This window comes from Homo sapiens, chromosome 15, assembly GCF_000001405.40.
Source record: "Homo sapiens chromosome 15, GRCh38.p14 Primary Assembly".
Lineage (NCBI taxonomy): Eukaryota > Metazoa > Chordata > Mammalia > Primates > Hominidae > Homo > Homo sapiens.
In genome coordinates this window covers 49,500,128-49,518,066 of record NC_000015.10, presented here as the reverse complement: position 1 = coordinate 49,518,066, position 17,939 = coordinate 49,500,128, and the positions used below count along the sequence as shown (strand labels likewise).

Genomic DNA, 17,939 nt, shown 5'->3' with positions numbered 1-17,939 from the left:
CAAGACAGAAACTGTAAAAATGCCCATCAGTAATATGAAGTTTACGTAAATTGCAGAATATTCATACAATGAAATATTACCAGAAATAAGAGTGAACAAATTATATCTATATACAACAATATGGTTAAATCACACAAACTTAGTTAAACAAAAAGAAAAAGCCAGATACAAGTGAGTAGATGCTGTATGAGTCTATTTATATAAAGGTCAACATCTATAAAACTAATCTATTGTGTTAGTAGTGAGACTAATAGTTACCCTTGGAATGGGTAGTAACTAGAACAGAGGACTCCTAGGTGCTGGTTATGTGAGCACTATATATTAAATTTGTAAAAAATTAATTGAGCTATACATTTATGATTTGTTCATTTTTTGAATATTTATATGAATTTACAAAAAGTTAAGTTGAAAACAAAGGCAATAGTAGCTGCAGTAAAGCCTCTATGATTTATTTAATCATTAATATGTTTGTATAGATTTTTCTTACACTGCTTTCTCTTACAGTTTATATCCATCAAGAATCACATGTTTTCTGAGTCTAATTCTCATGAATGATTTTCTCAACTTACATTTGTGACTCAAATAGATTTTTATCTTTTATTTGTGACTATTTTGCACTGGCAAAAGCACTTGTTGAAAGAATTTTATAAAACATATTTTTATTTCTTTGTTGAGGAAATGTTTGTATTATAGATCTAAAATACTAGATTCAATGTTCTCTTTAATGTATCATATATTCTTCTTCAGGATGAAGTAATCACTTTCTTAGGCTGTTTACAGTATACTGAGTTCCATTAATTTCATTAACAACTGGCTTTAGTTTTGGTTCATTTTTTCACAACTAAAATTTTCATTGCCTAAGTGACTTATACACAATAAGAGAAAAAAAGGATCACAAGAGGCTGTATTAGTTTTCTATTGCTGCTTTAACAAGTTGCCATTTAGTGATTTATAACAACACAAATGTATATCTTACAGTTCTGGAAGTTAGAAGTCCAACTGGAGTAAAATCAAGATATTGACAGAGATGTGTTCCTTTAGAGGCTTTTTGGGAGAATCTGTTTCTTTGTAGCTTCTAAAAGCTCTCTGCATTTGCCTTATAGCCCTTTTCCATTTTCAGAGTCATAAGTGTCTGATCTCATATCACATCACTTTGACACTGACTGCTTTGCCTTTCTCTTCCACATTTAAGGATTCTTGTGAATTCAATGAGCCTGCCTGAACAATATAATCACCCTATTTTATGGTCAGCCAATTAGCAAACTTAATTCTGTCTTCTCCCTTAAGTCCCCTTCACCATATAACAAGACATATTCATAGTTTTGGGGGATTAGAACATGGGTGATTTTGAAGACTGCCTCTGCCCACCACAGAGACACATTAAGGTTTTGTATAACTGGCTAGACTATGTCACAACCTTTATGACTGAATTCCACATCCCAGCCTTACAAAAAGTAAAATTAAAACCTGTGCCATTACTTATGGCTTCTGCCTAGGATTTAGATAGCTAAAAATATATTGCTCCCTCCCTTCTACCAAAAATCACTGAACTATCTGCAATTTCAAAACCTTTCCTGAACCCATCAGAAGTTGTAGGCACCAATCCAAAATCTATTTTTAAAAAGTAGCCACCAAGCAGAGAGGGGATGCAAGCCTTGTTTACCTGGAGGAGATGCAGTACTTTGCCATAAAATCAAGTAATAACAATTTAGCAGAAATTTTTAGTGAATTGCTAAAAGCTGAGCATAGGTTAGTGTGCGGATAAAAGAGAAGTTGCCCTACATTTATGTTTTACACCATGGACCTCATAAGAAAGCTTAGGGATAGTGTGACAATCCTGAGAATGTCTGGGAGAATGGAAGAGCAGTCACTGAAGGAAAGGGATAAAGCCCCTACTCTATGTAAAAAATAACAATAAAAAAATTTTTTTAAGTCTTGGCATGGGGACAGCAAACCCTATTGTCCTTAAAGAACTGGTGAAGACCTGATTTACCTACAAGAAAGAAGCAGAGAAAAAACCCTCTACTTGTGAGGCCAGGACTACATACCAGATCCAAAATATTAGAGGTGTGCTACAGCTGGAGCAACTCTGGATCATTGAGAAGACCCCATTCCAAGACACAGGAACATAGCCCATCACTGAGCTGATTCAGGGCAACGGAGGATATCCCATTGCCACCCATCTAACAAACATCAACTAACAAATATCAGCAGTTTATTTCTGAGAGAGGGGAAAGTAGTGTATAAAAATACTGTTTTTGAGAAGAAGGCACAAAGAGAAGATCTAAAGTTGATAGACAAACAGACAAACACAACAAAACACTTCTGGAATAATAGTTCCCATCCTAAGAGGAATTTGAAGCATATGCAGTACTAAAAGTAATAATAGCAACAAGAAAACATAAACACAGTTCATTCTAGACTAGATTTGGTCAGTTTCTCACACTAAATTTGAGCAAAAGAAGCAGCCCATTTTCAGGCGTTAAAACTACTTACCTCATCTTTACTACACTGCATAATATATTTGGTCTTCAACAAAAATTATAAGGTATGCAAAAAAGCCATAGAAAAAGAAAACACTGTCAAGCGAAAAAGCAATCAACAGAATCAGTTTCAGGTAAGGCTCATAGATTGGAATATCAGACAGGAAATTTGAAATAACCATAATTAATATGTGAAAGGCTTTAGTGGAAAAGGTACGCAACATGCATACTTAGATGTGTAATTTCAGCAGAGACATTGAAAACTCTAAGAGGATCAAATGAGAAACACATGAACAGAGATGAAGAATGTCATTGACAAACTTATCACATAAACTTGTCACACCCAAGGAAAGAATCCATTAACTTGAACATAGATCAGAGAAATTACCCACACTGAAACACAGAGAGAAAAAAGAGTGAAAAATACAGAACAGAGCATCCAAGACCTGTAAGACAACCTCAAACTGTCAGGCATATATGTAATTGGAATCCCTAAAGGAGAAAAGAGAGAATATATTATAAAAGAAATATTTGAGAAGGTAATGGCTGAGATCTTCCTAAATGGAAAAGAGTGGTCTTTTCAAAAATTTGTCCTGGAGCTCGTGGCTATTCATAAGTTGAAAAATAAACTTTGATTCAAATCTTCTAACCTATGCAAAAATTAACTGAAATGGATTATAGCCCTAAGTGTAAAACTTAAAACTATAAAACTTTTGGAAGAAAGCATGAAAGAAATTTTTGTGACAATAGGTTAGGCACAATTTCTTAGCTAAGACATCAAAAGCATAGTGCATAAAAGAAAAATCTTGACAAATTGGATTTAATCAAAATTAAGAACTTCTGTTACTCAGAAGGCACTGTTAATAGAAATGAAAAGAAAATTCACAGCCTGGAAGAAAACACTGGCGTATCATATTTATAATAAAAGATTGGTATTGAGACATATGAAGAGCTGAAAATTCACTGAAAAGAAATCAAACATCTCAATTTAAAAATGGGTGAAATATTTAAATGGAGTAGGAAGAGAGGAAGTCGTATCTGTTGCAGATAACATGACCCTATATTTAGAAAACCACATAGTCTCAGCCCCAAAACTCCTTAAGCTGATAAGTAACTTCAGCAAAGTCTTAGAATACAAAATCAATATACAAACATCACAAGCATTCCTATACATTAACAATAGACAAGCAAAGAGCCAAATCATGAATAAACTCCCATTCACAACTGCTACAAAGAGAATAAAATACCTAGGAATACAGCTAACAAGGGACATGAAAGACCTCTTCAAGGAGAGCTGCAAACCACTGCTCATGGAAATAAGAGAGGACACAAACAAATGGAAAAACATTCTATCCTCATGGATAGGAAAAATCAATATCGTGAAAATGGCCATACTGCCCAAAGTAATTTATAAATGTAATTCTATTTCCATCAAACTACCATTGACATTCTTCACAGAATTAGCAAAAACTACTTTAAAATTCAGATGGAACCAAAAAAAGAGCCCACATAGCCAAGGCCTTCCTAAGCAAAAAGAACAAAGCTGGAGGCATCACACTACCTGACTTCAAACTATCCTACAAGGTTACAGTAACCAAAACAGCAAAGTACTGGTACCAAAACAGACATATAGACCAGTGGAACAGAATAGAGACCTCAGAAATAAGACCACACATCTACAACTATCTGATCTTTGGCAAACCTGACAAAAACAAGCGATGGGGAAAGGATTCCCTATTTAATAAGGTGCTGGGGAAACTGGCTAGCCATATGCAGAAAACTAAAACTGGACCCCTTCCTTATACCTTATATAAAAATATAACTCAAGATGGATTAAAGACTTAAACATAAAACCAAAAACCGTAAAAACCCTAGAAGAAAACCTAGGTAATACCATTCAGGACATAGGCATGGGCAAAGATTTAATGATGAAATTGCCAAAAGCAATTGCAACAAAAGCTGAAATTGACAAATGGGATCTAATTAAACTAAAGAACTTCTGCACAGCAAGAGATCATCAGAGCAAACAGGCAACCTACAGAACGGGAGAAAATTTTTGCAAGCTACCTATCTGACAAAGGTTTAATATCCAGAATGTACAAGGAACTTAAACAAATTTACAAGAAAAAAACAACCCCATCAAAAAGTGGGCAGAGGATATGAAGAGACACTTCTCAAAAGAAGATATTTATGTGGCCAACAAATGTATCAAAAAAAGCTCAACATCACTGATCATTAGAGAAATGCAAATCAAAGCCACAGTAAGATACCATCTCACACCAGTCAGAATGGTGGTTATTAGAAAGTCAAGAAACAACAGATGTTGGTGAGGCTGTGGAGAAATAGGAACACTTTTACATTGTTGGTGGGAATGGAAATTAGTTCAACCATTGTGGAAGGCAGTGTGGCTATTCCTCAAGGATCTAGAATCAGAAATACCATTTGATCCAGCAATTCCATTGCTAGATATATACCCAAAGGAATATAAATCATTCTATTATAAAGATACATGCACATGTATGTTTATTGCAGCACTATTCACAATATCAAAGACATGAAACCAACCCAAATGTCCATCAATGATAGACCGGATAAAGAAAATTTTGTGTTACATATACACCATGGAATACTATGCAGCCACGAAAAAGAATCAGATCATGCCCTCTGCAGGGACATGGATGAAGCTAGAAGCCATCATCCTCAGCAAACTAACACAGGAATAGAAAACCAAGCAACTCATGTTCTCACTCATAAGTGGGAGTTGAACAATGAGAACACGTGGACACAGGGAGGAGAAAAACACACACCAGGGCCTGTCGAGTGGGGAGAGGGTGAGGTGAGAGAAGGCAGAGTATCAGGACAAATAGCTAATGCATGCAGGGCTTAAAACCTAGGTGACAGGTTCATAGGTGCAGCAAACCACCATGGCACATGTATACCTATGTAACAAACCTGCACATTCTGCACATGTATCCCAGAATGTAAAGTTAAATAAATAAATAATTAAAAAAATAAATATTTGAATAGGCACCTTATCGAAGAATTCGTATGAATCTAAGAACATCATCTCAATTATTGGCATAGCCATAATAATTCTGGAAGATTGTGGGTAATGATAAGGGACAAAAAATAATTCAGAAAGAAATGTACAACTCTTAGTAATTAATAGAAGAAGCGAGCAAAAAAATGAAACCTAGGACAGGTATAAACGATTTAAATAACATGATTAACAAACATGAAGTAATGTATACATATAGAACACTACAATTGAAAAATATACATTACTTTCAAACACAAAATATTTATAAAAATTCTTTTTATATTCAGCCAAAAATCAAATACTTCCAGCTTTCAAGAGATTTAAATCATATGGAATCATTCATTGAATGCAATGCATTAGAAACTATGATCAAAAAATAGGAAGTCTTTATGTAAGTTGAAAATTAAAAATATGTGCCTACGTGTGTAACTATGTAACAAACCTGCATGTTCTGCACATGTACCCCAGAACTGAGAGTATAATAATAATAAAAAGAAATATGTGCCTAATAACATGCTCATCTATCTGAGCCCCCACCCAGTTCTGTTCCCTTGCTGGAGAGGCATTGTGATCACTGGGTACGTACCCAAAGAAATATAAATCATTCTGTTACAAAGACATGTACATGTGTGTTCATTGCAGTACTGTTAACTATAGCAAAGACATAGAATCAACCCAAATGCCCATCAGTAATAGGCTGGATAAAGGATATGCGGTACATATACACCATGGAATGCTATGCAACCACAGAAAGGAACGAGATAATGTCCTTTGCAAGGATATGGATGCATCTGGAAGCTGTTTTCCTGAACTAACCCAGGAACAGAAAACCAAACACTGCATGTTCTCACTTATAAGTGGGAGCTGAACGATAAGAACACAAGGACATATGCAGGGGAACAACACACACTAGGGCCTATTGGGGATGCAGAGGGAGGGAGAGCATCAGGAAGAATAGCTAATGGTTGCTGGGCTTAGTACCTAGGTGATGGGGATCTGTGCAGCAAATCATCATAGTACACGTTTATCTATATAACAAACCTGCACATCCACACATGTTCCCTGGAACTTAAAAGTTAATGAAAAAATAAAATAAGAAATATGTGCCTACTAACTCAATCTTCAAAGAAGATATCATAATGGAAATTAGAGAAATGGAAACTAGTTTTGAACAAGTTGACAAGAATAAATACTATGTCTCAAAATATATAAGATGATAGCTAAGGTTCTTGGAAGGTAATTTATGGCCTTTAATGTGTATTTTCAAAAAAGAATAAAGACTGAAGACCACAGTGATCTGTTTAAGCATCCATCTCAAATGGGAAGAAACTAACCCTTCAGAAGCCTTTTTGTTTTTGACATCTCAATTCTCTATATTATATTCAAAAAGAGAAAACAGAGAGAAAGCAAAGAAATAATCAAAGAATTACTTCAAAAAGTTTTCCATGCTTGAAAAACTTGAGTTTCTAGTTTGAAAGAGGTTATCTAGTGCTTAGGACAATGGATAAAAATTGCTGTATGCCACAGTAAATTGTGAGTCCTCAGAACCCAGAGAACAAAAAGAAAATGCTAAAAAAAAAAAACTTCCAGAGAACAGAAAGATTAAGAAACAGAATTGTATCATCCCTCTTAACAGCAGCTTTGAAAGATGGAAGAGAATGGAACAATGTCTTACAAATTCTAAGGGAAAATTATTTATAACCTAGGACCCTAGACCCAACCAATTTGTCAAGTAAGTGTAAAGATGAACTGAAGGCATTGTTAACTTATATACATCTTTTCTCATCAAGTTATTGGAGAAAAAAAACCACCAAAATAAGGCGTAAATTAATGAAGAGGTTAAGATGAGAGTCAAGAAATGGAGGCTTTAACACATGAGACATGTAAATTGAATCTCCAAAATACTGGTGAAGGGAGCTCCCTAAATGATAACTGCACAGGCCTAATGAAAAAATTTGTTCAGATTCGAGCACATTGGCAGGCTTTGGGAGAGATGTCTCCAAGAATATTAAACTGAAAGCATCTCTAATGCATCTGAATGTATTCAAAGGCAATTTAGACAATAGTGGGGGGAGCAGTTTGGAGCTAAGTTAATTATAAGTACATAGAACATAAGAAAACAAAAACATCCAACAATTATTAACTTCAGATAAAAAAATTTTCTTAAGAAAATAAGTATAGCAGATTCATTTTTAAAGTCTCAATTGTCCACATTATTCTCTATATTCAAAAAGAGAAAACTGGTTCAGCTGTCAACAAGATTTTACATAGTTACAATAATGTAAATGCTGATATTCACACAATGAAAATTATAACAGTTGATATTATGTAAAGAATAGAAAGTTAGCTTGTATGTGGTGATAATGGGATAGGATGGTGAAAGATCGTTAAATCTTTATCTTCCCTAGTTGGACGTCAATAGAATGCCTAAAATTAATACATCAAAATGTAACAATATAGCCCTTTTTTGTGTGTGCTATGGTTATGGGTCCCAGATAAAGATAGTTGTTTCTGGGAAGCAAGATATGGTCTTGGGGATGTGTGAGGAACTATGGGACTTTGGAAATTAAACAAATAGTTTCACATATAATTTCACTCTTTAAATTGTATGTCTGTATAAATTTTATAAAATGAAAAATGAAAATTAGAATATATGTAAGTTACCAAATAATTGCAAAGACATTTTAGGTTTTTAGCTCCTTTATTTTATGGGCCATTTGTTTCTAAATCCTGTAGGATAACAATTTCCTAGGAAATACTTGAATAGATCCTACTAGAGTTTAGTTTTTTAAAACTGGCAATGTGAAAAGATAAATTTCGAGTGTTGTGGCTCTATATTAATGTCATTCTTTGGAACAATTCATGTTTTGTGACCAATTTGAATTAAAACTTGTAAATAATGTTGGAATGTAGTCAGATATCAACCAGTGGCTAATTTGCAAAAAAAAAAAAAAAAAGTAACAGTGAAAGTAACTTATATTAAGTGCTTACTAGGGATCAGGCACCATGTTAAATAATTTCACGTCTGCCTTGATGGCAGACAGGGACTAGATTGAAATGACTTTTGCGCCCCTTGTGTCAAGCACATAGTTTGGTACATAGTAATCCCTCTCTCTCTTTATATATCAGGACCAAGTAGGGTTTATGCAATACTGGACAGTATTAACCATGTATTTTATTTTCTATATTCTGATACTTTGACATCTGGGACCTTGATGACCCTAGAAGGACTGCACTTCCTAGGGTTAGTTAATTCCTAGAGGCAACTTGCCCATGAGCATGTTTTTTAAATGCTTTTTGATTTTTAAACAAACCAACCAATTCAGAGGTCACACACAACCATTTCCTTTATTTGGCTGTTACACTCTGGGTCACTATCCACCTGCCCAAATCATCCCAGGACTAGGTACCAGATAGGGGTAGCTCCTATGCACTAAAGCCTACTGAAATTATTTAAACTAGTCAATCATAGGCCTTCTTGCCTTGCCTCTTCCTTCCTAAGGAAAGCACAATAAAGACTCTCCCCCACAGTTCTCCCCTCTTTCTCTGCCTCCTGACTGGCCCCAGGGCTTGCCCATGTGGCCCCCTGTGGCATGACATCCCCCTACTCTTGGGAACTGTGAGTAATAAACCATCTTTATAAACGCAATCTGCTGATCTGTTGGCCTTACTATACTTCAATTTTTCTATTAATGCACAATATTTTAAAACATAGGCAATCTATCTAGAAGCACTCAAGTGAATCAAACTGAAGTCTGCTAAATAAGTGATAACTGTATCTAAAAACATTTAGAAAATTACAATTTGATGGCTCAGTCTAGTGAATAACCCTCATTGAACACTCACCGCTGAGAAAATATTGGCTACATTTATGAGCATGTTATAGTCATAATTATTGTTAACATATAATATTAATAATAATATTAGTTCATATTTGTGTCATACTTTCCCATTTACCAACACTGTAACATATATTTCAAAATAATTTATGTTATTCTCATTTTTATTGCTGAGGATACAGATGTTTAGAGTGGTTAGATGACTTATCTAATCCTACGCAGCTTAAAAGGAACAAAAAAGGAACTTTTTTGTTGTGAGGATGAAATGTATAATTATCATAAAAATGCTTTGACAAATTAAAAGGTATTTTCAAAATCCAAATTTATTTGGCTAAATATGTATTTTATATTAACAGGTTTAAAACCTCAAAAAGGCTTTTGGATCCACTGGAAACTGAAAGAACTCTCCACAACCACCATTCATGGTAGCAAAAAAGCACCTGCAAAATCAGTAAAGGAAAGAATTGCAGACAGTCAAGAACATATATCAACTAGTAAGTAAAGTTTCTGTATACTGCCAAATGGAATAGGTAGCAAAAATCAATTAATTTATTTATTAGGCAGAATTTTCTAATGATTTATGTTTTTGGTGAGGGCCTTAAAATAACATTTGATTTATAGATTGATGTTATAGTGGTACACACTTAAGTCCTTTTTCCATTTGCCTGTTACAAAATAATGATTTTTTAAAATGTTTATCCTTTTTGTCTTTATGTATACTACATATATTCTCACTTTTACTTGTATTGCTAACTGGTTAATATGTATTGTCTCTATAGATAAATTTACATTTTTTATTTTGTTCATTTAAATTATGTTTTCTTTAGGGTTTCAGTTTTGTGGTGTGTTTGTGAAGACTTAACTAAGATTATAAAAATACCTACCTGTATTTTTCTAGTATTTTTAAATTTCCATATAAATTTAACTCTTTGTTATAAACAGCATAGTTGTATTCCAATATGATGGGTTTTTTTTTTCCAAATGATCCGTTTATTAAATAGTCCACTTAGAGCCTACTTGAAATACCAATTCATTTACATTTTAATATTCTTTTCTGTTCCTTTGAGCCACGTCCAAATTCTTGTGCCAGGACCAAAGTCCTCAGTTACTCTACATTAATAAGCTTTGTAAGGCGAGTTTATTTCTCTCCTGTTTATGCTATTTCTTTAATACCAAACATAAGTCTAATGCTCAGGTCTCGTGTCTGACTGGTTAAATCAGAATCTAGGCTTAGTAATGTTTAAAGTTCCTCAGTGCCTCAGATGATTTCATGTGCAGGCAATGTTACAAACCACTAATGCAGAGGGAAATACCTTTCTAACCTATACCTTGATATAGGCCAAGGAAGAGGAGGAATTAACCTACCCAGCCTACTCTTTGGGAAGTTATTCTTTAGTTAATCTGATTCTAGAATTATTTAATTAGTTAATTATTCTTCTTCAGATCTGAGAATTTTGAATTTAGAGCATCACTATTTTAACTGTGGTTTTCTATATTCTTATCGCAGTATATATCATCCAATATGATTTCTATCTTTTATTAGTTACAGGAAATTTTCTTGTTTGCTGTCATCCTCAGTGTTTTACCAAAACTTCGTATATATTGTTATGGGGGGTGGGGGGCTATTTCTAGGGATTTCTGATAGAAAGAGTAATAGTCTACTATCTTGAGCCAATTTTGTTTATCTGTTTTGACTTCTCACCCTCACATATGAATAACTAAATTGAGAGTATTTTGTGAACTTTCCATTTTCTTTTTAAGTAACAGAAAAGTGGTAAGAATAGCATTAACAACTCCCATATATCCTTTACCTACCAATTATTTATATTTTGCTTGTTCTTTAAATCATTCTCTTTCTTCTTTTTTCACATAAGCAATTAAAGATTAAATTTCCCTAAGCACTGCTTTAAGTGTGTTGTATTTAGATATGTTGTATTTTATCACTTAATTAAAAATTTTCTAACATTTACTGTAATTCCTACTTTGACCCATTAGTAGGTCAAAGTAGGGTTATTTAGAAAAGTATTGTTTAATTTCCAAATGTTTGGGACCTTTCTAGATATCTTAAAATTACTGATGTCTAATTAAAAAAAAACTACTGTGGTCTGAGGGCATACTCTGTATGATCTTTTGCAACGTGTTGAGACTTGTTTTATGGTTCAGAATGTGGTCTGTCTTGGTGAACATTCCATGTACACTTGAGAAGAATGTATATCTGCAGTTAAAAAAAATCTCAATTAGATCAAGGTGGCTAATAGTATTATTCAGATCTTCTGTATCAAGTCAGCTAACTGTAGCCTGTGGATTAAATCTGGTGTGTAGCATGTTTTTATACATTCTATGAACTTAGAATGGTTTTTGCATTTTTAAGGGTTGTAAAAAACAAAAACGTAAAACAAAATAAAGAATATGTGACAGAGACTACATTGGCCTGAAAATCCTACAATACTGACTTGCTTTTTATAGAAAAATTTTGCTCACCCTAGTTCTATATCTTTATTGATATTTTATTTAGTTCTATTAATTACTCAGAGGGGATATTAAAATATAATTTTAGAATTATCTATTTCTCCCTTTAATGTTATTGATTTTTGCTGTATCCATTTTTAAATTATTGAGCAAATATACTTTTATTAGGTTTTTCCTTTAACCATTATAAAATGTTCCTTTGTAGCTGTGATAATTCTCTTTTTTTGAGTTCATTTTGTTTAATCTTAATATAGACACTTCAGTTTTCCTATGCTTATGGTTCACATCGTATCTTTTCTCATCATTTTACATATAACTAGTTCATATTCTTATATACTTTTTGTAAACAATCTGTAGTTGAGTCTTGTTTTTTTATTCAGGATGACAATCTCTTCACTTTAATTTGAAGTGTTACTTCACTTACATTTAATGTAATTATTGATATGATTAATCTTATTTCTACTAGTTTCTATTTGTTTTGAGATTTATCCCATCTGTTCTTTGTTTTCCCTGTCTTCTTTTGGTTAATTGAATATTTTTGTCATTCTATTTTAATTCCTCTATTGGCTATTTACCTATACCACTTTTGTATTTTTTGAGGCTGCTTTAATGCTTGCAAAATGCATTCTTAAATTATCAAAATACTATCTAAAGTTAATATTGTCCTACTTAACTTAAAATGTAGGACCTTGGAGCAGTATAGTTACATATACACCCCCGTGTCTTTTTTGCTATTGTCAAATATATCTACATAAATAATAGCCTCACATTATATAGTGTCATGACTTTTGTTTCAAATAATTACATGTTTTTTCAGCTTTTTGAGATCTAATTGGTGTACAATAAATTGCATATATTTAAAGTGTAAAATTTGATGAGTTTTGACGTATGTATAAATCTGTAAAACCATTACAACTCGAGGTAAAAAAACATCTATCTCTCTCAAAAGTTCCTTATGCTTTTTTTGTAATTCCTTCTTGCCACCAACCCACAGGCAATCATTTATGTAATTTTTGTCACTATAGGTTAGAATGCAATTTTCTAGAAGTTTACATAAATGAAATTATATAGAGTGCATGCTGTTTTTCAACTAACATTTTTTATTCCACATAATTATTCTGAGATTCATTCATGTTGTTACATGTATTAATAATCTCTTCCTTTGTATTGCTGAATAGTAGTCCTCCATAGTAGGAATATAATATGATTTGTTTATCCATTCATCTTTTGGTGGCTATTTGTATTGTTCTCAGTATTTGGCTATTATAAATACAGCTGCTATGAACATTTATATACAAGTATTTGTTCGGATATAGGATTTTATTTCTCTTTGATAAACATCTAGTAGTGGGATGACAGAGCAGCATGGTTATGTAACGTATTAGGTCATTCTTGCATTGCTATAAATAAATATCTGAACCTGGGTAATTTAGGAAAAAAGAGGCTCAATTGGCTCATGGTTCTGCAGGCTTTACAGAAAGCATGGTGTTGGTATCTGCTCAGCTTCTAGGAAGGCCTCAGGAAGTTTACAGTCATGGCAGAAAGCAAAGGGGGAGCAGGCACATCACATGGTGAAAGAAGCAGCAAGTGAGAGAAAGTGGAAGGGAGGTGCCACACACTTTTTTTTTTTAAACTTTAACATGCACATGAATGACCTTTATTTTATTAAAAGTTTCTGTTCAGTGGGTCTAGGGTGGGACCTGGGATTTTGCATTTCTAGCAGGCTTCAGGGAACGCGAGTGGTGCTAGTTCCACACACTTTGAGTAACAAAGTTATGAACAATATATATCTGATCTTTTCTTTTTTTTTATTATACTTTAAGTTTTAGGGTACATGTGCACAACGTGCAGGTTTGTTACATATGTATACATGTGCCATGTTGGTGTGCTGCACCCATTAACTCGTCATTTACATTGGGTATGTCTCCTAATGCTATCCCTCCCCCCTCCCCCCACCCCACAACAGGCCCCGGGGTGTGATGTTCCCCTTCCTGTGTCCAAGTGTTCTCATTGTTCAATTCCCACCTATGAGTGAGAACATGCAGTGTTTGGTTTTTTGTCCTTGCGATAGTTTGCTGAGAATGATGGTTTCCGTCTTCATCCATGTCCCTACAAAGGACATGAACTGATCATTTTTTATGGCTGCATAGTATTCCATGGTGTATATGTGCCACATTTTCTTAATCCAGTCTATCATTGTTGGACATTTGGCTTGGCTCCAAGTCTTTGCTATTGTGAATAGTGCCGCAATAAACATACGTGTGCATGTGTCTTTATAGCAGCATGATTTATAATCCTTTGGGTATATACCCAGTAATGGGATGGCTGGGTCAAATGGTATTTCCAGTTCTAGGTCCCTGAGGAATCGCCACACTGACTTCCACAATGGTTGAACTAGTTTACAGTCCCACCAACAGTGTAAACGTGTTTCTATTTCTCCATATCCTCTCTAGCACCTGTTGTTTCCTGACTTTTTAATGATCACCATTCTAACTGGTGTGAGATGGTATCTCATTGTGGTTTTGATTTGCATTTCTCTGGTGGCCAGTGATGATGAGCATTTTTTCATGTGTCTTTTGGCTGCATAAATGTCTTCTTTTGCGAAGTGTCTGTTCATATCCTTTGCCCACTTTTTGATGGGGTTGTTTGTTTTTTTCTTGTAAATTTGTTTGAGTTCTTTGTAGAGTCTGGATATTAGCCCTTTGTCAGATGAGTAGATTGCAGAAATTTTCTCCCATTCTGTAGGTTGCCTGTTCACTGTGATGGTAGTTTCTTTGGCTATGCAGAAGCTCTTTAGTTTAATTAGATCTCAATTGTCAATTCTGGCTTTTGTTGCCATTGCTTTTGGTGTTTTAGACATGAAGTCCTTGCCCATGCCTATGTCCTGAATGATATTGCCTAGGTTTTCTTCTAGGGTTTTTATAGTTTTAGGTCTAACGTTTAAGTCTTTAATCCATCTTGAATTAATTTTTTTATAAGGTGTAAGGAAGGGATCCAGTTTCAGCTTTCTACATATGGCTAGCCAGTTTTCCCAGCACCATTTATTAAACAGGGAATCCTTCCCCCATTTCTTGTTTTTGTCAGGTTTGTCAAAGATCAGATAGTTATAGATGTGTGGCATTATTTCTGAGGGCTCTGTTCTGTTCCATTGATCTATATCTCTGTTTTGGTACCAGGACCATGCTGTTTTGGTTACTGTAGCCTTGTAGTATAGTTTGAAGTCAGGTAACGTGATGCCTCCAGCTTTGTTCTTTTGGCTTAGGATTGACTTGGCAATGCGGGGTGCCACACACTTTTAAACAACCAGATTTTGTGTTAACTCAGAGTGAGAGCTTACTTATCACCAAGGGGATGTCCCAAGTCATTCATGAGGGCTCTGCCTTCATGATCCAACCACTTCCCACCAGACCCCACCTCCAACACTGGGGATTACATTTCAACATGAGATTTGTACAGGGACAAATATCCAAACTATATCATTTCACCACTGACCCCTCCCAAATCTTGTCCTTCTCACATTGCAAAATACAATCATGCCTTCCCAACAGTCCCCGAAAATCTTAACTCATTCCAGCATTAACTCAGAGGTCCAAAGTCTCATCTAAAACAAGGCAAGTCTCTTCCGCCTATGAGCCTGTAAGGTCAAAAACAAGTTACTTACTTCCAAAATACGATGGGAGTATAGGCATTGGGTAAACATTGCCATTCCAAAAGGGAGAAATCGGCCAAAAGAAAAGAACTGAAGGCCCAATGCAAGTTCAAACCTGGCAGAGCAGTCATTAAATCTTAAAGCTCCAAAATAACCTCCTTTGACTTTATGTCCCACATCTAGGGCACACTGGTGCAAAGGATGGGCACCAAAGGCCTTGGGCAGCTTCACCCCTGTGGCTTTGTGGGGTTCTGCCTCCACAGCTGCTCTCACAGGTTATTGAGTGTCTGTGGCTTTTTCAGATTCAGGGTGCAAGCTGCCAGTAGATCTACCGTTCTCGGGTCTGGAGGGCAGTGGCCCCCTTCTCACAGTTCGACTAGGCAGTGCCCCAGTGGGTACTCTGTGTGGGGGCTCTTATCCTACATTTTCCCTCTTTACTGCCGTAATAAAAGTTATCTATGAGGGCTCTGCCCCTGCAGCAGGCTTCTGCTTGGGCAACCAGGCTTTTTCATACATCCTCAAATCTAAGCAGAGGCTGCAAAATGATCTTCACTCTTGCATTCTGTGCACCTACAGGCTTAACACCATGAGGAAGCTGCCAAGTTTTATAGCTTGCATTCTCCAAAGTGGCAGCTCAAGCTGTACCTGGACCTTTTAAAGCCCCAGCTAGAACTGAAGCAGCTGGGATGCACAGAGCAGTGGCCCAAGACTGTGCAGGACAGCAGGTCCCTGGGCCTGACCCATAAAACCATTTAGTCTTCCTAGGCCTCAGGGCCTGTGACTAGAGGACCTGTGTCTTAGATTTCTGGGATGCCTTCAAGGCCTTTTTCCCATTGTCTTGGTTATTAGCACTTGGCTCCCTTTTGTTATGCAAATTTCTCTAGCAAGTCATTGCTACAAAGCCTACTTGAATTATTCTTCCAAAAGAGCCTTTTCTTTCTCTGCCACATGGCTAGGCTGCCAATTTTCTAACCTTTTACGTTATGCTTCCTGTTTAAATATAAGTTCCACATTTATCATTTCTTTGCTCCTGCATCTGAGTGTCGTCTGTTGCAAGCAGCCAGGGTTACATCTTGAATACCCTGTTGCCTAGAAATTTCTTCCACCAGATACCCTAAATTATCACTCTGAAGTTCAAGCTTTCACAGATCCCTAGGGCAGGGAAACAATGCAGCCAAGTTCTTTGCTAAGGCACAACACAGATGACCTTTGCTCCAGTTCCCAATAAGTTTGTTATTTCCATCTGAGACCTCATCAGCCTGGGCTTCACTGCCCATATCAGTATCAGCATTTTGACCACAACCATTTAACTAGTTTCCAAGAAGTTCTGAACTTTCCCTCATCTTCCTGTCTTCTTCTGAGCCTTCCACACTCTTCCAGCCTCTGCCCATTATGCAATTCCAAATCTGCTTCTGCATTTTCAGGTATCTTTATAGCAATGCCCTACTCCTGGTACCAACTTTCTGTATTAGTTCATGCTTGTGTTGCTATAAAAGAATACCCGTGACCAGGTAATTTACAAGAAAAAGAGGTTTAATTGGCTCATGGTTCTGGATGCTCTACAGGAAGCACGGTGCTGGCATCTGCTCAGCTTCTAGAGAGGCCTTAGGAAGCTTACAATCATGGCAGAAGGTGAAGGGAGAGCAGGCATGTCACATGGCAAAAGCAGGATCAAGCAAGAGGGGGGCAGAGGTGCCACACAATTTTAAACAAGCAGACCTCATATGAACTCAGAGCAAGAGCTCACTTACCACCAAGGGAATGGCCCCAGCCATTCTTGAGGGATCTGCCCCCATGATCCAGCCACCTCCCACCAGGCCCCACATCCAACATTGGGGATTACATTTCAACATGAGATTTGGTTGGGGGTAGATATCCAAACTATATCACGTATGTATAACATTTTAAGAAATTGTCAATCTCTTATCCGAAATTTTACATTTCTACCAGTATACAAGTTATATTTACTTCCTTACTAACACTTGTTATGGTCTTTTTAATTTTAGCTATTCTCGTGAGTTATATACTGGTATTTAGCTAGGTTTTATTTTAATTTCTCTGATGATCAATCATGATGAGCTTCTTTTCATGTGCTTATTTGCCATCCATGTATCTTAAAGCTCCAAAATAACCTCCTTTGACTTTATGTCCCACATCTAGGGCACACTGGTGCAAAGGATGGGCACCAAAGGCCTTGGGCAGCTTCACCCCTGTGGCTTTGTGGGGTTCTGCCCCCACAGCTGCTCTCACAGGTTATTGAGTGCCTGCTGAAGTGTCTGTTCAAATATCTTGGCCATTTTTATTTGAGTTGTTTGTCTTCTTATTGAGTTATAAGAGGTCTTTATATATTTTATGCTTATTTATTTAGTTAGTTCGTTTTTAAAGACAGGATCTTGTTCTGTCACCCAGGCTGGAATACAGTGCCATGATCATAATTCACTGCAGCCTAGAAAAAAGTT

General features: G+C 35.7%; 1 protein-coding gene across 28 annotated transcripts in view; it reads left to right on the top strand.

Moving 5' to 3' along the window:
- FAM227B (family with sequence similarity 227 member B) overlaps positions 1-17,939 on the top strand; it is a 293,849-nt gene that overhangs the window by 102,752 nt on the left and 173,158 nt on the right. For all 28 annotated transcript variants that reach the window (XM_047432224.1, XM_047432222.1, XM_047432221.1 and 25 more), the window contains one exon: positions 9,719-9,856. In XM_047432224.1, coding sequence (XP_047288180.1) covers positions 9,719-9,856 — 138 coding nt within the window. The remainder of the gene's footprint in view (positions 1-9,718; positions 9,857-17,939) is intronic.